The sequence below is a fragment of the Homo sapiens genome, chromosome 17, assembly GCF_000001405.40.
Source record: "Homo sapiens chromosome 17, GRCh38.p14 Primary Assembly".
Classification (NCBI taxonomy): Eukaryota; Metazoa; Chordata; class Mammalia; order Primates; family Hominidae; genus Homo; species Homo sapiens.
The window spans coordinates 66,873,237-66,895,316 of record NC_000017.11 but is presented as its reverse complement, the minus strand read 5'-3'; the positions used below and the strand labels follow the sequence as shown (position 1 = coordinate 66,895,316).

Genomic DNA, 22,080 nt, shown 5'->3' with positions numbered 1-22,080 from the left:
CTGCTGAACTTTCCTGCAATGCAAAGATCAGCACCCACAACAAAGAATGTTCTGGCTCAAAATGTCAATAGTGTTGAGACTGAGGAATTCTGGGCTGTTTTAGCGGGGATGGGGGACACGGGGAGTATGAACTGGAGCATCTTTGCTGAAGAACAATGAGAACGTGTTGGATTAAATTAAGTGCAAACATAGCCTGCGATGCATTACATCCACCCCCCGGTGTAGCCCCAAGAAATGGTTGCCAGATCTGTAAGGGGAGACGGACAGCTGTATTTTCAGCAGTGCTGTTTGGTGCGTGTGTTGTAGGGGAGTTGGAAGCAACCCTACCTAAGAGAAGTGCTGGGGGAATTGGTGTCAGATCCTAAACATGAGTCAAGTCAGACTCTGGCCTCCAAATCCCACTTTCCTGGTGTTAATTACTGAGATTTTCACTGGGGTTTAGGCAAAAAGTAAAGGCTGTGGAGTGCTTGGCAGCAGTTAGGAGCAATGAACTATATGTTCATGGAGGAAAGCAGAAGATTGTAAAAGCAGTGCTGGATGAAAAAGTGAGAAAGAGAGATGCATATATAATGCAGTACCCTTTATTTAAATTAAAATACACATGCCAGAAAACAATATACATTTAAGGAGCACATAGAAACAAAAATATATATATTAAACACATCTGAATGGTTGCTCATGGGGTGGAGGGGGAAGGAAAAAAAATGAATGAATGAATAAAAAATCAAGAGCCAGGCCTTATGTGAACCAATAATGGCTGCACATCATGAACTGGAGAGGGTAACTAACTCAGATTCTGCACTAGGATTCAAAGCAAATAAAATGAAATCACACCGGAGAAACAGCCCAGGACAGAAGCTGTTATATAGTAGGTGCTAAAGAAACAGTAGCAATAACCAAAATAATATATTAGTACTAATTTATTATTAATAGGATCACAGGGTAAATTATTATGAGTACTTCATTTTCCCCATCACTTTTTCTTCCCCCAATCCAGGCAAAAAAGCCCACCATTGAGTTTCTAAGGATCCACTGAGGAAGGATGTGCAGGATCCTCCCAAGGGGGTGACAGATTGAAAGGAGTCCTTGGAGGTCGGGGAGAGCAGTCAACGCATGGGGACAGTCCCCACACCTGGAAGGACATGAGTGAGGAGGTGCAATTGATGGGTTCCTAGAGCAGCAGTGAGCAGAGTCCTTGGCAGGGCCTGAGAGGGGTGGCGGGATGGTGTTTACGAGGACACAGGACAACAGGTGTCAAGAACCCTGGCACCTACACCGCTGGACTTTGGATTTCTAGCCTGGCAGCCACTGCCATCCCCTCCCCATTGGATTCCCATGCAACCCTGGGGAACACTGAATTTCTCACCACCCAGGTGAATAGGGGCTCAGACAGACTTAATTTAACACAACAAGGTGACACTTCTTGCATCTAAGTAAAATTTATTCTCACTTCACTTTTTTTTTCTTTGCACCCCACACACCCATCAACTCAGGAATTTACGCTTCCAGTGCTTCAGGAAACATTGTGAACAAATGAAACATCTCTTCCTCCTCTCCAGCTGAAGGGCTTCAGAATGCCGGGTTGGGGGGGCGGGTCTCACCTGCCATGGCACACCCACTGGCCATTTGCTCCATGGTGCCCTGGGAGTCAGCCAGGAAAATGGAATCTGGAGGCCAGAGTCTGACATGAGCTCATCTCTAGGATCTGAGCCCAATTCCTCCAGCACTTTCCTTGGGGTCACGTTGGTAGGATGCATCAGATGACCCCTAACCACACACGCCAAACATGTTCCATGGCCAAACTTGTGTCATGAGTCTTTCTCCAGTTGCTTCAATTTATCCAGAACAAGAGTGTGGCGAGGTTCCACCACGGGCTGACCACAGTTAGGAAAATCCAGAGTTTTCCTGGAGCCATTTCCAACATTGGTTGGCATCATGAGTAGAGATGGGAGAGAAGGAGTCAGGATTAACGTGTAGAGGCTTTCAGGAAACGACACATCACCGTTGTTTGCATTTAGACCTTTCCTTCCCCCATTTATCTTTGGATGGGAACCTGGATTATTTCTCTGATTATAGAAGAGGGTACATTTACCATGCAGAACATTTAGGACTGTAGGTGCCATGCTCTTGGGGGTGCACTTGAAACAGGACTTGCAGAGCAGAGCAGTGCAAATATTACCAGCTGTGCGGTCATGAGCAAGTCCCTAAACTTCTTTAGGTCTCAGTATTCTACGTACAGGATGGAAAGGGTTACATGAGATAATGCTTGCAAAATACCTATTATGTGCCAAGGACTCTGATAAGGACTTTAGATGCATGTTGGTGGTCATGATGTTGGTGATGACCTGCTGGGGTTGAAGCTGAAGTCGTAGTATCTGAATCGACATTTGCAAGAGACTGTGCCTGGGTTGAAGATGGTGAATCCATTCTTGGGTGAATCCCAAGCCTGTAAACAGACCTTGTAGGATGCTCTCCAGAATTGATCATTTAGGACACTGAGAAATGCTATGGATTGAATAGCTGCTACTCACCTTATGTGGTTTAATTTAGTCTCTTCACCATTTTGTTAATGAAAATAACTTAGTCCAAAGAGGACTTTACAGTTTACACGGTGTTTTCACACACATTGTTGTATCTGAAATAGGGTGGGAGGTGTATGAGTGTGGGTGGATTTAAAGTAAAAATTGGCCCAAGTTAGTCTGCTGGGAACGTTGTGATACGTGGTTCCTTTATTGCCTAATCAGAAACCTCTAAAGCCTTTGAGCCTTGTTCTTTTTCACAACTGCTGAGCACAAAATGAATTATTCAAAGACCAGTGATGAAGATTGACCTGAACTTGATAGTCAGAGCCCGAGACTATGAGATCATTTCTAAGGATTTATCATCCCTGCTTGCATCCCTGCTTGCTTGGCCCTGACAGTGGGCTGGAGAACACGTTGGCTCCAGAATGTTCTCTATCCTCTTTCCAGGGGCAGGCTCTAGCTGCATACCAGTGAATACCAGTGAATACCAGCTCCTTGGGGAAAGGGCTCAGAGGCAGAAGGGCTGGGCATGAGCCCATGAATTTGGCGTCTTGCCCCAGGCACAGCCTTGTCGGAGGAGGTGGGGCTGGTGCAGGCTGAGACAGAGCGAGGAGTGGGGGGAGGTCCCTGGGGCTTCCACCTCCTCAGGAGTCCACCCAGCACCATTCTCCCTCCTTTTCTTGCATTTTGTTTGGGATGCCACCACTCCCCAGCCAGACTCAGAAGGTGGCCTTATCCCCAGCTACAGTGATAAATCCCAGTAGGTCTAAGCCAGTGGTTCTCAACCCTGGTTTCACATTAGAACCATCTGGAGAGCTTTAAACAAATTTCAGAGATCTGGGACTAAACCCCTAGAGCCTAGAGCATATCATGGCCTTGACATTGCCTGGAAGCTTTTAAGAGAAACAGACCCTCAGGTCCCACCCCAGAGTAACTTCAGAATCTCCAGGCTGGGAGAATAACTTACTAGTCAAAGCCAGTCATGGTACAGCAGATCGTGTTTCTCAAAGGTGGTTGCTACCATAGATCCCATCTCTCATGTGTTCCTCACAATGGAACTCTGACACTCCTCACATCTGAGATGGTGGGATCTACGTTCTCTTCTCTATAAACCTAGGTTGTCTGGGGATTATGATGGAAATGACATCAGGTAACTTCAAAGGCTGCTTCCAGAAAGGCAATGAAGCTTCTGCCTGTCTCTTGGGACCCTCACTCTTAAAACCAAGCTGTCACCCTATGAGGAAGACCAGGCCTTAAGAAGAGACCGTGTGCAAAGATGTTCTAGTGACAACCTTAGCTGAAGTCTCAGTGGATGCAATTGCCACACCAATGAGCAGGGAAGCCTTTGAAATGACAGCCACTGTCTGACTCCAACTGCCTGGGAGATCCTGAGTGAGAACTGCCTTGCTGAGCCCAGCCAACCCCTAAAGCTGTCAGAAATAATCATGATATGATTGTTGCTGTCTTAAGCTACTAAATTTTGGGGCAATTGCTTGTATATTAATAAACTGGAGCACATGGCCACCCTGTTCCCCTTGCCAGATTGTGGTTTAGGAATGGGCATGTGACTTGGTTTTGGCCAATGAGACATGACATGAAGTCTGCTGGGGTTGCTTCTGGGAAAGTTGTCTTTATTCCTTAGAAAAACATAGAGAAAAAGACCACCCTTCTCTTCCCTCTGAAGCTGTTGCATCTTGATAGGATGTTTGGAATCACTGTTGCCATCTTGCTACCCACTCGTGGATAAAGGCAGCAGAATTCTGCCTTCCTCCAACTGTCTCCCCACTGCTACTGCCAGCCATGTGCACTCCATTATGCATAAATCTTATTCTTCCTTGGGGTGCTGCAAGTATCTGATCTCTTAGCTAAATTCCACATTCTTTGGAGTGTTGTCATCTGGGTGCCTCCATCAGGAGGCAGGGGCTGGGAGGAGTCTACTACTTGAGCTTGGTTGCATTTTGCTTGTAAAACTTACAGCCTCTAGAGTTGGGTATAGAGTCTGGGGATAGAGCCTGATGAGGTGATTTTATCTACACTCCCCCATTACAGGAATGAAAAGACAGAAGTTCCGAGGGCTGCTGGTAACACACAGAGGGTGCAGCAGCACCTGATGAGAACTCAGGCCTCTGAACCAGCAGGACAGAGAGCCCACGCATGCAAACCTTCAAGGATGGGGCCACCTGGGGCAGAAAACCTTAGCCCCACAGTGAGCACACAGGGAGTCCTGGCTTCACACACCAGAAGGTGGAGGCAGGCCCAGAAGGATGTGATATGTCCAAGGTCACAGAGCAGAGGTCCAGGATCCTGGTTCAGGGATGTGAGACTCCAGAGACCTCAGCTCTGCCAGTACCAAGGACATGAGGCCCTAGCACCTGTCCTGGGAGACGTGGATGCTAGAGGGGCACCTGCCCAGTTCCTATTCACTCATCTGCATGCCTGGAACCCAAAGAGCAAAAGCAGCCCTGGTGAGGGCTCTGACTGGCTCCAGCGTACCACCCTCCACCCCCTGTAGTGGTGACCACTGAGCCTCGTCTCTTCTATGGCACACTGGAGCAGCCACTGCTACCATGGATGAACCCACACTCACAGTGCTAGCCGGGCCTCAGGCACAGGTGCATTAGACAGAATCCACTCATCCATCCACCTGTGCACCTACTCCCTAGGCAGAGTGCTGTGTTCCAAAGGCAGGTTAACTTCCAAGTGTCACACGAGCATATGAAAGTGGTTCACTGAGTGTGGGGAGAAAGTCAAGACTTGGAGAGCTGCCAATTGGCCCTCATACCCAAAATCCAGGCAGCTGGTGAAGGAACAGAGCCCAGGTGCCAATTTGCTCAGGCCTTAGGTGGAATGTGGCTCCCCCGGCCTCCGCTGTCCTTTCTCCACTTACAATGGTTAGTTTTACATGTCAGTGTGGCTGGGCCATGGTGCTGCCCAAATATTTGGCCAAACATTTTTCTAACTGTCCTGTGAAGGTGTGTTTTGGATGACACTAACATTTAAATCAGTGGACACTGAGTAAAGCAATTACCTTTTCTAACGTCGGTGGGCCTCAACCACTGCACTGAAAGCCTGAATAGAACAAAGGCTGACCTCCCCTGAGCAGCCAGGATTTCTGCCAGGAGACTGCAAGTTTGGACTTGAACTGCAAGTCCTCACCGGGTCTCCAGCCCAACCAGCCTCTGCCATCAGATTTTGGTTGTACTCACCAAGTCTCCACAACTTCTTGAGCTAATTCCTTAAAATAAATCTTTCTCTCTCTATATATTCATCCTGTTGATTCTGTTTTTCTGGAGAACCCTGATAGACCACCTGTATCTAGGGAGAAGGGAGAGTTACTCAAACATTAAGGAGGGGTGCCCCCTACATGTGATTCTCTAGGGACATCACTGATAAGCCTGTGGCAACCTATGGATTTCCCCCACGCCCCCACCCCAGCTCTGCATGCAGCCCTGGTAACACAGGATTCTTCTGAAGGTCACTGGTGGGGCTGGGAGGACATCATTGACTCACCCATGGGACAAGAAAGAGGGTAGAGGATGGGCACAGTGGCTCATGCCTGTAATCCCAGCACTTTGGGAGGCCAAGGCAGGTGGATCACTTGAGGTCAGGAGTTCAAGACCAACGTGGCCAACATGGGGAAACCCCATCTCTACTAAAAATTAAAAAATTAGCTGGGCATGATGGTGCATGCCTGTGATCCCAGCTACTTGGGAGGCTGAGGCAGGAGAATTGCTTGAGCCCAGGAAGCAGAGGTTGCAGTGAGCCGAGATCACACCACTGCACTGACAGAGCAGGAGCTTCACCATCTTGGACAAGCACTGCCATTTTAAAGTTCACCTTGATCAAAAACCACCTAAATTCAAAGGGCATCAGCCTAATGGCTAAGGTCAACATGACCATAAACCACAAATGACATCTCTGACCAGAAACATTCCAAACTCTTCCCCAACCAGAGACATGCCAGCCCCGAGATAACCTTCCCTCCAACCAGAGAGATGTCAGCCCCAAGATAACCTCTTCTCTGACCAGAGACTTTCCAACCCTGCCATAAACTTCTCCCACACACAGAAACATTCCAAGCTGTCTCACCAATAAATACTCTTGGTCTGTAAGAGAGAGTGCTCCTGACTGAAATCGTCCAGAAGCCCCTCTCAGGTTTATTCTCCAAAATAAACCTGTCTTTGACTATTGAGCCACTTTTCATGGTTCTTTCCTCTTTCTTTAACTCTTTTTTTTTTTTTTTTTTTTTTTGAGACGGAGTCTCGCTCTGTCACCCAGGCTGGAGTGCAGTGGTGCGATCTCGGCTCACTGCAAGCTCTGCCTCCCAGGTTCACGCCATTCTCCTGCTTCAGCCTCCCAAGTAGCTGGGACTACAGGCTCCCACCACCACGCCCAGCTAATTTTTTGTATTTTTAGTAGAGACAGGGTTTCACCATGTTAGCCAGGATGGTCTCGATCTCCTGACCTAGTGATCTGCCTGCCTCGGCCTCCCAAAGTGCTGGGATTACAGGCATGAGCCACTGCGCCAGGCCTCCTCTTTCTTTAACTCTTACATGCACTCCAGCCTGGGTGACAGAGCAAGACATCATCTCAAAAAAAAAAAAAAAAAAAAGTAGGGTAGTAAGTTCCAGGTGTGGGGGAACCAATGTCAGATTGTTCTCTGTTAATGGCTGATTACCCCAAGTTATTTTATTCCATAAATCATGACACTTGGGTTTATTAGTCTACCCCTCCCATTTTTTTACAGTGCTTGAGGAAACAAAAGATCAGAATGTATATTGAAGAAGAGACCCTAATTTATGATTTCTGAGTTGAGTTTGTACATGTTAACGTTTGGTAAAAGTCTCCTGATTGAGGAGAGGCTGCAACTAGGCCCTGATTCGGAGATGAATTTATAGACAGAAAGGAAATTGTGATGGTGATGTGATTATTGACACATGCACCCACCCCCAAACAGGTAATGACCGAGAACCTGTTCCTAAGATGCGTGTAAACCACATCTTCCCAGGCTAAGGGCTCCTTCATTTAGCAGCTCAGCATCAGGGCCAGTGAAGACCGAACCTAGTGATGTCTGAGTCCACAATCAACTTGTATTTAGGAGTGGATTCTACTTTTTCCAGGTGCACCAAAAACAAGCCTGGCACAGTGACAGAGAAAGAGTGTTCTAGAGAGAGAAAAGTGCAATTAGGAGCTAATTACATTGATAAAAATTGGAATAGCGCTTACCTAAATGATTGTCCAGTTTGGAAACGCTATCTGTCTCCAAGCACAAAAACTGATTCCTTTACTTTGCGGTGAGGAGAACATGGTTTTGGTATTATTCTGTAAACAGTAACTGAAGAATACAACAGTCATTGCAAGGGTGCCAGTGGAGAGGGAGGGGGGCCTTGCAGTTGCTATCAGTTTATAGGCAAGGATTGAAAAGTCACATACAAAAGCAACAGAGAGCCTCCCACAGGAGGCTGAGTCATTGGAGTTGTGGGTGGGTGGGAGGGGAGTGGGCTTGGAAACCATTTAGGCCAAGCCCCTCAGAGTGGAAGGGTGTTGCCCAAGGATTCGTGGTGAATGAGTGGCTGAATTGGGACCAGAACTGGCTTCTCTTACCCTTCTCCTCCACCCTGCTGTGAGACAAATGGAAGAATCCAGCAACAAAATACCTGTCATGGGCTAAACTCTGTCTTCCCTAAATTCATTTGTAGAATGACCCTCAGTACCTCAGAACATGACTGTATTTGGAGATAGAGCCTTTAAAGAGGTTATTTCATGAAAATTAACCACCAATTAATCGGGGATGGACCCGAATCCAATCTGACTGGTGTCCTTGGACACCAGGAGAGGGAATGTGGACACACTGAGGGACACCAGGGACACGGGCACACAGACCACATGAGGACACAGCGGGAAGGTAGCCGTCTGCAAGCCAAGGACAGAGGCCTCAGAAGAAACCAATCCTGCCAACACCGTGATCTTGGACTCCGGTACCCAGAACTGTAGGAAAATTCATGTGCGTTATTTAAGCCACTCAGTCTGTGGTAGTTCATTGCGGCAGCCCGGCTGCCTGACACACCGCCTCTCCAAGGCTGCGCACACCAGACGTGCAGCTTTCTGGACTACGTGCTGGAGCCCACGTGTCGCCACCATGGCTTTCTGTTCTCAGAACCTAGCGGCGTCTTAAAGAGGGCAAGGAGAGAGCGGGCACAGCAGCGACACACAGCATTGCTTTGCTACTCAAAATCTCAAAACCAAAAACATCTAAGCTAAGCTGACACTTGGAGAGCTGAAGGGGGGCATGGCTTGCAGTGGCTTCTGTGGACTTACGGAGGGTAATTGAAACCCTCCTGGCTCCGGTTTCCCACCAGAAGAATGGGTGTCACACTGCCTGGTCTTCTGGAAAAATCTGATTTGCCCACATCTGTCCTACACCCAGGAAGCAGACACTCCTCTATATTAGGATTAAATTGGCAACCCCCCAATGTTCACAGGCAGCCTTCGGAGAGCAGCTGGATTATTCCAAGTCTGCCTTTGTTTGCACTCAAGCTGCACCAGGTGTCCTCAAATCCAGCTCCCACTCCCAGGCAGCCTCTTCGAAGGCAACCTTCCACTTAGGTGGTTTAGACAGATGTCTACAAGATTCCATCTTAGGGCCTTGGTCCGGAAATATTACCCTTGTAAGGGGACAGTATCCCCAGGACCAGAAACAGTGTCTGGTAATAGGAACTCAGACCAGCCCGATTCTAAAATTCTCATTGTCAGAATCAGTTATTTGGGTTAAGGCATAAAAGGCTCCTGTAAAATATGTTATCAAAGGGCCATACATATTAGGATGTCTTCAGCCATTAACACCTCTTTGTGACTTCATCAGTGTGGCCTCAGAGCCACCCTTAGTCCCTTAGTGCCAGGGCCCAGGGCAGCTGAGTTCTGGTGTGAGGAAAGGAGAAAAAGTTCACCACAGCCTGTGTCAGGGAGGGAAGAGCATGGACAGGTGTGTCATGTGGAGGGACAGGGGTGACAAGGAGAAAGGAGTTCAGAAGGAACACTGACAGCTTGACATGTCTAAGTCAGCCAGACCTCTATATCAGAGTCACCTTTCGGCCAGATGGTGCAGATCTTGAATGTGAATGGCCAGGCCAGTTGGCAAGTGCACGAGTCCAGCTGCATCTGTGTAAGGAGCTTGGCATCTCAGAGCTGGCCCTGGCCCAGGGCCATGAAGTTGGGGGGTGCAGGAAGAATATACAAAGGGAACATCGGTGTCTCCTGGGCTTGGGGGGAGCTGCTGGCTTCCTGGAGCCACTGCTGTGATTGGCACTCACATGGGCGGGGCTTCTCCCATGTTCCCAGACAATCAGCTTGCCCACAGACTCCAGACTCCCACACCCATGCTGGGGCAGTTAGAGCCCTTCTGGAGAAGCAGGGAGAGGACTGGGGTCAAGTGACAACAGCTAAGCATGGGTGGCCTGGGCCTGTCAACCACAGGCCTGGGGCTCAGGGGTCACCTGGAGAGAACAGGAAGGGTTGTCTGGCCACCCACAGTCCAGGGATGGGGGCGGCCGAGGCTCAGCAGGGTGAAGAGGACATCTGATCATAGTCGGGGCACTTGAGCAAGGCGGGGTAGTTGCTGTTCATCTGCAGGGAGGCCTCGCTGGAGATGTCGGAGGGGCTGCGGCCCCTGACCCAGGCGTCTGGGTGTAGGAACTGGCCTGAGTAATCGGAGCAGTTGCTCAGCCGAGGGCGGTAGAAGCCAGGGTGGGGCCTGTACATGTCCTCCGCGGTGTACCGCTTCATAAACAGGTACACAGACATCACCCCGGCACTCTACAGGGAGAAGACAGCAGAGGATGGGCTCGCTGCTGGGGCCTGCCTCATCTCCCTTGGCTGGGGTCTGCACAGGACACAGCTCGAGTGGGGTGGGAAGTGGACGTGGGGACAGGAGCAGGGTCCTGGGGACATCCTGGCCGGAGGAGACCCAGAAAGGTAAGACAGTGACACATTCTGGGATGAGGAAGGGAAGTAGAGTGGGTGGTCCGGGGTCCAAAATGGTTGTGGAATGTCCCTTCTCCCCCATCCCCACTCTCCCCGGCTCAGTGGGGCAGTGCCCAGGCCCAGCCTATCCATACTTAGGGTGACGGGCTTTACCTCCGTTAAAAGGAAGGAGATGGCGGCGAAGGCAAACGACCACCCATACTTGTAGTTGAAGTAGGTCTCTGCATCCTTGGTCCTGTTGAGCATCTCATCGTTGATGCTGGAGATGTAGAGCACCAGGCCCACCACGAGAGAGAGGCCTGGTTGGGCAGCAGGGGAGAGGGGATGCTCAGCCCAGAGGCCCAGGAAGTTTGCTGAGGTGGCACCCACCTCCCTTTGCAATTCAGGAGCAAAGCCACCAGCCTTGGGGTAACAATGCTCTCAGTGGAGTTCAAAGGAGAGCAGAAACTTTCCTCCCAAGCACCCTGTTCAGACCAGCACCTTCTAGACAGCAGATAGTTTGAGGGAAGAAGCTCCTATATAGCTGCCCTCCTAAGCCATGGGCTAAGCCCGGTGGTTCTCACCCTGCTGTGCATATCTGTCACACAGGCCTGAGCCCCAGCTCTGGACATTCTGATACACCTGGCCTGGGATGGGGACCTGGCACTGTATTTTCTTCTTTTTTTTTTTTTTTTCTTTTTTTGAGGTGGATTTTCACTCTTGTCGCCTAGGCTGGAGGGCAATGGCGCGATCTCGGCTCACTGCAACCTCTGCCTCCCGGGTTCAAGTGATTCTCCTGCCTCAGCCTCCTGAGTAGCTGGGATTACAGGTGCCTGCCACCATGCCCGGCTAATTTTGTGTGTTTAGTAGAGACAAGGTTTCTCCATGTTGGCAAGGTTGGTCTCGAACTCCTAACCTCAAGTGATCGCCAGCCTCGGCCTCCCAAAGTGCTGGGATTACAGGTGTGAGCCACTGCGCCTGGCACTGCATTTTCTTAAGAGGGCTGTGAACCACTGAGCTAGAAAGTGGCTTTTACAGAACTGAAGGGTAAAATACGCCCCATGGGCAGAGATAGCCAAGGTGGTAGGTGGCACCTATCATTGTGAAGTTCCCTCATGTGGCCCATGGTCTGTCCAACACACCTGACCACAAGGTGTGGCCTGTCTGAGATCTTTAGGTAGGGGAGGTAAAGGGATTTTGTCCAGATTTTGGCAAACTTTAAATCAGGAGGCCGGGGGGACCAACCTCCTACTGCCATTGTGCAAATGACTGCCTCAGGCATCAGTTCTATCAATTAGTAGCTGTAATTGAATCAAGACATAATTAATTACTCTCTTTTGAGTTGTTCAGGTTTAATTCCACTCACATTATTTTATGAAAGTAGGGCATCTGGAAGGATGAATGCCAAAGGAAAACTGGTGTGACCGAAACCTTCCTAGTACTTATGTTTGAATCATTGGTGCACTAAATGAACCCTCTTTATTGTTATCATTGAAATGACTTCATGTGGCCCATCTCAATCCTAGATTTCTGATCTGGTAGCCCACTGCTGAAAAACCTCACGTATGTCAAAGCTACTGTTTATAGCTTTGGCTATCGTGAAGTTCACAGAAGGAAAAATAAAAAGCTTAACTAACCCTGAGTCTGTACCTCATAGACTTCGTGGAAATATCACCATGCAAAAGCTGGGCTGATAACATTCCTGGTGCTCAATAAATATGTGTTGGGTTGATGCATGGAAGGGTGGAAGGATGGGTTGATAGATGGAAGAATGGATGGATGATGGGTTGGTGGTAGATTGAAAAATGGATGGACAGATGGATGGAAAGAAGAGTGGGTAGGTGTGTGGATGGATGGATTGATGGATGGATGGATGGATGGATGGATGGATGGATGGAAGGAGAAAGAAAGAGTGGCTCTTGGACATCAGACTTTCTGACTGCCACCTGGCTCCCAAGCTACGTTGACAAGAAAATATTGGGAAAAGGATCCTAAAATTACTCAGGAGTCAGGTGGTAATCAGAATGCTTGGTATCCAATAGCTGTTTTTCCTTTCTTCCCATCCGCCCATCCACTCACCAATCCATCCATCCATCTATCAATTATTCAAGCCATTCACCCATCCATTTTCCATCCAAGCATCTTCTCCCCAGGATCCCTAACCAGTCAGTCATCCGGGGCACCTAAATTACATGCCCCGAGAGCCACTCCTTTGGCCCAAGTCGTTATCTCCAAAAGAAAAGGTCTCCATGAAAATGCACAGGTCACCTTGAAAAGGAGAAAGAGCCCACCTTTATTTGCTGTTTTCTTTCCCCTTCTCACTCTACACACCAGCCATGAGTAATCTCATCCATGTCCATGGATTCCTCTCCCACTCCCTAGGCTGATAGCTCTCCAATCTCTATCTTTGGTCCAAGTCACTCCCATGAGCCCCAGACACTGACCTCTGGCAGCCTTCTGGACACCTCCTCCCAGATGTCATAAGGACACCTCAAACTCAGCATTTCCCACACTAAACTCATGAGCTGCCCAAATCTGCTCCTCCTGTGATCCCTGAATCAATGATGTGATATGCCATCCACCCAGTGCTCAAGCAAGAAATTGGCACTTACCTTGACTCTTCCCTGGAAGCCTCATCCTAGTTCTGTTGAGTTTACCTCTCAAATGTCACTTGAACCCTCTCATTTCTCTCTTTTCCACCATCAACCCCCTGTTTGGGCCATCGCCTCTACTACTGGAATAGCCTCTTGCCTAGTCTCCCTGCCTCCTGTCTTACTTCCCTCCCTCCCTCCATTCCCCAGCATGGTCATTCGAAAATCCAAACCCAATCGTGTCATCCCTTGGCTCAAAATCCATCTAAGTCTTCTCCTAAAGTCCCGAATCCATAAGACGACCTCAGATGCCTTCCCCAGTCTCTCTTCTCACTACATTTTTCCTTGCACCTGCCATGATGAGCAATGATTACACTCAGTTCCCCCAGTGCTTCATCCTCCCACTTTCCTCCAGGCCCATTTTCCACCCCCACCCCCAACCTCACTTCTTTGCCTAATTCTTACTCATCCTTTAGTTTGCCTCCTCCTGGTAGTCTTCCATGACCAACATTTGCCCTGAGTTTCAGTCACTGGTCTTGGCCCCCTTGCAGTCCTTGCTGGCCACCATTCATAGTCCTATTCACACTGGGTTCCTATCTTCTGTCTACTGTTTCTATCTCCCATTGCACTGCCCTTTTTGTAGGCAGTGATGCCAGCAGCCAGAATAAGGCCTGGAAGATATCATCAATGAATAAAAAGAAGAAAGAATGAAGTACAACCTGGCATCAGTCCAGGAAGACAAGTCCATGTTGAAGGGGTCTAGGAGGGTTTATGGTGTGGGGTGTGACTGGAGAGGGAAGGAGACAGCAGGAGTCTCCTGAGGACAGCTGGGGGATGGGGGGTAAAGGACCCATTATTCCAAAGGCAGATTGTGTTTAATATTCATGCACAAATATGAAGACATAGCCCCTTCAAAAATAGGAATACTCAAGATGGTGGGAATTAAAAAGTCATTAGGTGCAGTGATGTGTGGAGTGAGGAAGGAACCCTGGGTTCCAATCCCAGATTTGTCAGAGGGGAGTCTGTGCAGTCACCCCTCCTGTGGAGCCTCTGTTGCTCTTCTGGAAGGTAATAATGGGCCCAGGGTCCTCAGATGTTTCCTCCATCTCTGACTCAATTCTGTCTGAATAACTGACTCAGCCTATCCTAATTCCAGGACTTTCCAATGCAGAGCCTTTTGGGAGTTAAACAGCAAAAGTCCAGGGTGGCTGGGCACAGTGGCTCATGCCTGTAATCCCAGAACTTTGGGAGGCCAGGGCAGTTGGATTGCTTGAGCTCAGGAGATCAAGATCAACCTGGCCAACATGGAAAAACCCCATCTTTACTAAAAATACAAAAATTAGCCAGGTGTGGTGGCAGGCACCTGTAATCTCAGCTACTTGGGAGGCTGAGGCAGAATTGCTTGAATCCGGGAGGTGGAGGTTGCAGTGAGCCAAGATCGTGCCACTGCACTCCAGCGTGGGTGCCAGAGCAAGACTCTGTCTCAAAAACAAAAAACAAAAAACAAAAAATTCCAGGGTGCAAGAAAAGAAAACAACACAACTTACCTGAGAGGATAAAGAAGATGCCAGAGACAAAGGCCAGTATCGTCCGGTGGGGACGGATGTGTCCGATGTTGTTCAGGATAAACCCAATGAACATGAAGAAGAGGCTGACCAGAGGGAATGGTGTGGCTGAGCGGATCATCTCTAATTAACGGGACAAAAGGGCGGCCTGTCAGCCTCCAGGCCTGATTCATTCCTCATCATCCTGAGTTGAGTGTTCCTGGCAGTGTCTACCAACTGGTCCTCAAAGCCCCACCCCTGCAGGGGTTCCCCAGACTCTACCCCCATCAGGTGGCCTGGGGATCTCCCATTACTAGCAGGGCTTTTGTCCCTGAGGTGGGCCCGGAAGGTCTGACTTCAAGTGCCAGCATCTTCAGGGCCTCTGTCATTTCCTCCAGGCATAAGCTACTACCCTCCTGGGAGTCCACACTGTCTGCCAATATGGAGTCCATACCACCTGCAAATATGGCAGCTGTGGAAGGGCCAGGTCATTCCATCTTGCTTCCTCTTCCAGGCAGATTCACCATTTCCTTGGGCAAGGGGTTGCTCTGAATGGTGCAGGGGACAGTTACAGCCTCTGTTTTCTTCAACTTATAATTACTTGGGGAGCAATTCTGTTGGGGCTAGTCTTTGTCCCTGGTTCCTGAGAGATCACCTCTAAATTCTTGGAATTTTCCAAGGTTGGGAGTGTCTTTGTTATTCATGGTGGGTCTCTCAACCACACCTGAGTTTTTGCTAACCAGGTGACTCAGGATGGGGGCTAGAAACACCAACCATGGGATTAGAAGATTGGGGTTTTGAGCCAGGTGATATCAGCCTGGCCTCTAGGCAAGGTAAGGGGCTAGAGGGTGAGTTCAATCACATGATCAATAATGTAATCAATCATGCCTATGTAATGAACCCCAATAAAAACTCTGGACACCAAAGCTCAGTTGAGCTTCCTGGTTGATGAACACATCAGTGTGTGAAGATGGTGACACAACCTGATTCCATGGAGAGAAGAGTCTGAAGCTCCACATTCAGGACCCACCCCCAGACCTTGCCCTATGTGTCTCTTCATCTAGCTGGTCCTGATTTGTGTCCTTTGTAATAAAATTGGAATGGTAAGTATAGCACTTGCCCGAGTTCTGTGAGTCATTTTTGCAATTATTGAACCTGATGGAGTTATGGGAGCTCCCATATTTGGAGCTAATTGGTCAGAAGTGCAGGAGGCCAGGGACCTCTGAACTTGCAGCTGGCATCTGAAATAAGGGTAGTTTCTTTGGGGACTGAGACCTTAAACCTGTGGAGTCTCTGTTAACTCCAGGTGATTAGCATCAGAATTGCATTGCAATATTGCAAATTCATACTGGGGGCAGAAACGACTCTGTTGAGGTCAAGGCCATGAAGTCAGGCTCCCTGGGGTCCAGAGAGCTCAGTTCCCTGATTGATGCCTGGGTCAGTAGACTGGGAGACTCCAGCAACCTGTTTTCACTACTGGAAAATTAAGCTCTAGTGGATCATCTCTAATTAACAGGACAGCACACCCAGCTGAGTCTAAGGGCATTCCTCTTGAGAAATATGCTGGCACACTGACTCTTCCCTCTGCCTTGCTCCTCTCTGTCCAGCCAGTGGCCCAGGTTGCCAGACTCAAGGCACTTACTTAGAACATTGACCGTGGACTCGGATGTCAGCTGGGTGTTCATGGGCATCACATATTCTATGGTGAAGCAACGCCCCCGCTCCTCACCTGTGGAGACAAGAATCACATTTCCAGGTCCCTCTTGAACATGGATTTGAAGTTGGTCCATACAAATGGTATTTCCAAGTGTGTTTTTAGGATCTTTGACCTGCTGTGTCTTTGCACCTGAGCTGGATCCAAACCCTATGGGGGTCCTGTCCCTGGCTCATAGCCCACAGCAGGGGTGGAGGCACGTCCTGACATGACAACCTTCCTGGAGAAGCGCCTGTGTGAGGATGGACCCAAGCACCAAGAGTCACATGAAAAGAGGTTGGTATTGCAAACTCTCCATGCTGAGTGAACATCTGGTGCCATCTCACTGCGTTTGGCCAGATGGGGCTGACAATGGTGCATAGCTGACTTAGATTCTCCAGTGTGGGTGTCATGGAGCAAAACTCCAAAAGCCCTGTCAACCACCCTGGAAATCAGATCCTAGTGACTTCAAACTCCAGATTTAAGCACAGACCAATGCCACGCAGTCTGAGGCAGAAGAAGCCAGAGTTGGATGTCATTCACATGGCAGACTCAACACCTTGAGGTGTCTTCTCTGCTAAATACTGGTAGGAACAAATACCCACTCCATCCCCCAAAGCTGTACTATCAAGCTGGGAGGTAAAAGGCTGGGAGAGCCAAACTGTGTCTCTTCCCAGTGCACACATAAGTTACAAGCCCCTACCAAGAAAAGCCCAGTGACCACACTGTGGCAATCCAGGCCAGCCCAGCTTGCAGCTATTCTTGTATGACTTGGAAATGCTTTTCTTGTGCAGGCTGGTCTTGGGTCATGATAAAGGGATAAAGGATAGAATTCTTGGAGTGGTAACTTGAAGGGTTACAGGGAAGCCCTAGTGAGTAAAAAGGTAGGCCCAGATAAGTGGGGTCAAAACCTCTACCATGCTGCAGAGCTGGAGGGACCTGCTCATGTGTTTCCTCTGTGCCATTTTATGGAGTGAGGAACAGAGAAACTGCCAAGTATTTTCTAATCTATAAACTAGTGGATGCAAGGAAGCTGAGTTAAGGAGACTTAACCTCTTTGAATCTTCATTTCTGCATTTGCAAAGTGGAAATAACAAGTCCTGTCTTGCAGTACTGTTGGGAGAATTATATGGGATCAATACTTCAATGAGCTAAAGCATGCATGAACATTTGAGATCTGTGCAGTGTCATTGGCATCCAGTCCTGGGAGCAGAGTGTGGGGAAGGCATAGTTACATTCATCTTTCAGGAAGGAAGACCTGGGAGGTGAAAAGACTGGCTCAAATGGACATCGAGAATCAGGACTTGAGTTTGGAATGGGGTCCCAGTCACTGCAGGGAGCACCACCCGCCATATATAGGGATCATCCGTGGTGAATGGTCTCCTTCCAGCATCTCTTGGCCATCTCTTCCCAGGGAGGGACCTCTTGGGGCAGGTGATGTCAGGGGGCAGGGCTGTCCCCAACCCTGGGCACCCTTACCTGCAAGGAAGCAGACCCGCCAGAGGCCTGAGTGCAGGGACATCTTGATCTCGGTGCTCTGGTTCTGGGGCACAATCACACCCTCCTCCAGGTACAGCCAGTAGTCGGTGCTGACCGCGATACCCAGGAGGCCCAAGCCACAGACAGCAAAGACACTGCTCAGCAGGGTCAGGGCCTTCCTCCCGCAGGCACTCATCTTCCTGGACCGTTGCTGTGCAACTAGTCGCCACGCTCCCACCAGCACGGACTGCGCTCTGGGGCTAGGGAGAGTGGGTGAGCAGGTGGCAGTACCCACGGCTCTGAGAAGACGAAGATGAGGAGCCAGTAACTAAAGTCAAACCCCAACCTGGCTCAATGGATGGGTAAAGACCACCAGGCAACCCCCTGGACACCAGGTCACTGCAACAGAGGTGCCACCCTCCCCCTAACCCCGCAGCAATTCAGAGCGTTCTTGGCATGCCACTGCAAGGACCCCCTTGTCCTCTCTGGGAGTCCCCTTGCTGGGTACTGCCATTCATTCATTCATTCATTCATTCATTCATTCATTCAGCAACCCATTGTGCCAGACATGGGAGATACAAAAATGAACATGACACTATCCTTGCCATTGAAGGGTTTCCCATCTAGAAGAACAAAGGCACCCCCAAAGCAATTAAATGCGACCTATTGAGGGCTGTGGTAGAGACCTGTCCAGGAAGTAGAGAGGAAGAATGGAGGAGACAACTCTGCTGGGTGAGCTTCTCTGTGTTGAAAAGGATTCTGAGGCTCAAATAGTCTCTGTGAGAGATGCCAGCTCCAGACAGGAAAATGGCAGCAGCCTTGGGAAGGAGTAGAGAGGCAGGGAAGATTTCTTGGAGGAAAGTGTCCTCCTCATGTGACTCTAATAAGTTGCAGCACTTGGTCAACACAAGTAAAGAAGCCATACCACAGTCCAAGTGCAACAGCCTCCTAAATCCACCTAATCAGAAATGGGCTGACTCTTACCTGCTCAGCACGCTGTATCGGCAGGGGCCAGCAATGAACGAGAAAAAGAGAAGCTAAGTGTCTAAGCAAGGTCAACCACAAGCCCCACCTGCTGATATCTGCCAGGGTCAGGCACTGGACTTGGAGCTGGAAAACAGTGGAGAGCAAGGCAGATGGATGCCAGCCCCCGTGGAGCCCATAGCCAGTCTCAGGGCTTCTGTGCTCTGGCTGTAATCTAGAATCACCTAGGAAGTGTCTAAAAATCCCTGATACCCTGGTGCTGCTCCAAGAGATTCTGATACAATTGAGCTCAAGTGGGGCCTGGACAATGGTATTTTTTAAATTCTGCCAGGTGATTCTAATGTGTAGCCAAAGTTCAAAACAACTGATCTTCGCTACTCAAAGTATGGTCCATGGACCAGCCATGTAGGCATCACCATGCAGCTGGTTAGAAAAGTAGACTCTCTGGCCTCTCCAACATCCTAAATTGAAATCTGCATTTTAACAGGATCCCGGTGAGTTGTCTGCCTACTAAAATCTGAGAAGTGCTGTGCCAAGCAAACAGTTGATGGCATTGTAATGTAGCAACTGCTATGATGGGGAAAGCCCAGGATATGACAAGGGCCCAGAAGGGGTCATCCAGTGGGGCTGGAGGGGGCAGGCAGAGCCATCTCTAGAAGAGAATGAGGCCTGGGGCAACTCAGAAAGGTTGTGTCACCCAAGCCACCCTTGGCTGCAAGTTTGCTATCCTGTCGGCATCTTTCACTGGCACCTTGCAATATTGCAAAGTCAGAACTTTTGAAACTGGATGTTAGTGATGTTTGGGAAAGAGGTGCAGCAGTGCTTCGGTGCAGTCCACCAATATCAGGGCTCCAGTGGAGTCCTAGGGCCCTGCCCCAGGGATGGTATCATGTTCCAGTTGAGATTTGAGGCACAGGTGGGTATTGAGGCAGCTGAAAATGGACAGAAGCCAGATTTGTCTGCAGAGTCTGAGTTGACTGTAGGAGGAGAGTGGCAGAGTTTAGAGCCTCTTTGTGAGAAGGGGTTGAGGGGTGCACGCTGGCCCTGATTCCACAGCGCCGGCCCTGCTCTAGCAGTTGATCATGGGAAAGTTGATTGATCTACAGAGTGAGCCATATATTGGCTTCCTGGAGGCATGTGTGAGTCTATGTCCATGTTTGCAAGGCTGAAGAGCACAGGGCTTTAAGCCACAATGATCCTTCCTGTGTTGGCTTTGACAAAGGAGGGAGAAATGAAACACCAAACAGCCCTCTCCACCCAGCCAAATCATTCTCCATGCAACAGCGTGGGCAGAGGGGAGCAGGACAGTTTGTATCTAGCATGAGTATCTAGTAAAGCGCCTATAAGCCCTGTGCTTGCAGCTGAGGAAGAGGCAACAAAATCAGAGGTGCTGCCGCTTGCAGAGTTTGCGAGCTGGAAAAATGGGAAACCACAGCATCCCATTCTGACTGAAGGTGGGGTAGCATCATAACAGGCAGAACCCAGGTCCTGGGGAAGAGAAGCCAACTCCTAGCAGAGGTCCAGGGCAAGGCTGCTGCCGACTGGTGGGAAGTGCTAGTGACGTTGTACTGATAGTATTTTTATATTAATAGTAGTTAGCCAAACCCTGTCATTTACACTTGAAGCTCACAAAGTCCCAACATCTGCCAAAGGAAATGGAATTGAAACACCAAGGATGGTTAGCAGGAGTAAGGGGAGCAGTGGAGAACAAAGGGATATGGCTCCCAAAGGCGAACAGAGCCTTGAACTTACACTCAACCGTGCCACTAAAGATCCATGTAAGCTTGGGAAATTAACCTCTCTGCTATGGTTCGGATAAGGTGGTTTGTTTGCCCCCACCAAAGCTCATGTTGAAATTTGATCCTCAATGTGGTAGTGTTGGGAGGTGTGCCTAGCAGAAGGTGTCTGGGGTCATGGAATCCCTCAGGAATGGCTTGGTGCTGTTTTCATGGTGGTGAGTTCTCACCCTCGAAGACTGGATTAGTTTGAAGGAATGAATTAGTTCCCTTGAGACAGTTGTTATAAAGCCTCAGGTTTTCTCCGTTTCCTTCTTGCCCTTCTCTGCTCTGTCGTGATGCCCTATGAAAGCCCTCATCACAGGCCAGGGATATGGCCTTGAACGTCTCAGCCTGCAGAACCAAGAGCTAAATAAACCTCTTTTCTTTATAAATTATCCAGTCTCAGGTATTCTGTTATAGCAACACAGAACAAACTAAGACACTCTCTGAAGACTGATTTTCTCCTGGATAACATGGAGGAAGAGACTAATAATAAACACCAAAGTACATTGAACGTTTATCATTGTTAGGCATCCTGTTAAGCACCTTACTCCCCATTTTAATCCTGGCTATTCTATTACCACACCCATTTTACAGGTGAGCAAACTGATGATCAGTGAGGTTAAGAAGCTTGCACAAGAGCACTCAGCTGGCAAATGTTGGTGCCTGCATTTGAACCTTACCTTGCCCCACTCCCAAGCCCTTTTTCAAGGCTTGCGTTCTCAAACTCCCACCCCATGAGTTTATCCAAAGTGGGGTCCATGGAGCAATAATTCCATGGAATATTCTAGAAAAAGTGACTCTGGTTAAAAGGAAAAAAAAAAAAAAAACAGCTTGTGAGAAGCACTGCACCTAGCTCTTGAAGAACCGCATTGCACATTATGGTAAAGGCTTTGAAAAGCCTGCTTAGCTTTGCTTATTTCTGTATTTTCCAAACTTATTTGAGCAAAGAAAAAAAAAAGACATCATGTTCTGTGAAACCCACTTTGGGAACCACACTGCCTGCCAGGAAGAATAGGAAGACCTGCCTTGCTCACTCCACAAAATTGCTGGTGTGATTAAACACGACAGCAGATATGACTATGCTTTGAAAAAAGTCTAAAGCATGATCCTGGTATAAGGTATTGTTATTAAGCAACAGTGGACTAAGCCCCTGAGTCTTGCAGAGAGAATGGATCAGAGCTTCTGAAGCACGACTGCTGTTGCCTGGTCGAAGCTGAGCAGCCAATCTTAATGTTAAGCTTGGCAGGGAGATGAAAAAGATTCATGTTTGGAGATTTGGAAAGATGAAAGTGGAGAGGAGATTGGATCTTAATCTACAAAAGCGAGAAATAAAAGAGGCTGAAAGTGACCTTGCCTGCCAAACTCTACAATAGCAGATCCTAAAGCCTGGAATATACCTAGGAAAACCAAAAAGTTTCATCTATTTCCAGAGTATGTAATACATTTATGGAATGCTACCTGGGGTGGAAAATAGCAATCTTATTCATTACAAAATTATATCTATGCTTCTATTATGTAATCCTATTT

General features: G+C 48.7%; 1 protein-coding gene across 2 annotated transcripts in view, besides 1 other annotated feature; it reads right to left on the bottom strand.

Moving 5' to 3' along the window:
- Positions 1 to 565: 565 nt before the first annotated feature.
- Positions 566 to 22,080, bottom strand: part of CACNG5 (calcium voltage-gated channel auxiliary subunit gamma 5) — a 59,635-nt gene continuing 38,120 nt past the window's right edge. Inside the window, exons 2-6 of one of the 2 annotated variants that reach the window (NM_145811.3) lie at positions 17,789 to 18,087; positions 16,259 to 16,345; positions 14,620 to 14,760; positions 10,656 to 10,801; positions 566 to 10,334 (exon numbers count right to left, since the gene is read on the bottom strand). In NM_145811.3, the coding sequence (NP_665810.1) occupies positions 10,077 to 10,334; positions 10,656 to 10,801; positions 14,620 to 14,760; positions 16,259 to 16,345; positions 17,789 to 17,984 (828 nt within the window). In that variant the 5' untranslated portion in view covers positions 17,985 to 18,087 and the 3' untranslated portion in view covers positions 566 to 10,076. The remainder of the gene's footprint in view (positions 10,335 to 10,655; positions 10,802 to 14,619; positions 14,761 to 16,258; positions 16,346 to 17,788; positions 18,088 to 22,080) is intronic. The other variant, NM_001371476.1, reaches the window with a different exon arrangement.
- Positions 16,478 to 16,688: a silencer, noted in NCBI's record as "fragment chr17:64874747-64874957 (GRCh37/hg19 assembly coordinates)". NCBI's record gives its function as "represses an EF-1alpha promoter that drives an FKBP-Casp9 reporter gene in an ReSE screen in phorbol 12-myristate 13-acetate-treated (for megakaryocytic differentiation) K562 erythroleukemia cells {active_cell/tissue: K562(+PMA)}" and the evidence as "EXISTENCE:reporter gene assay evidence [ECO:0000049][PMID:32094911]".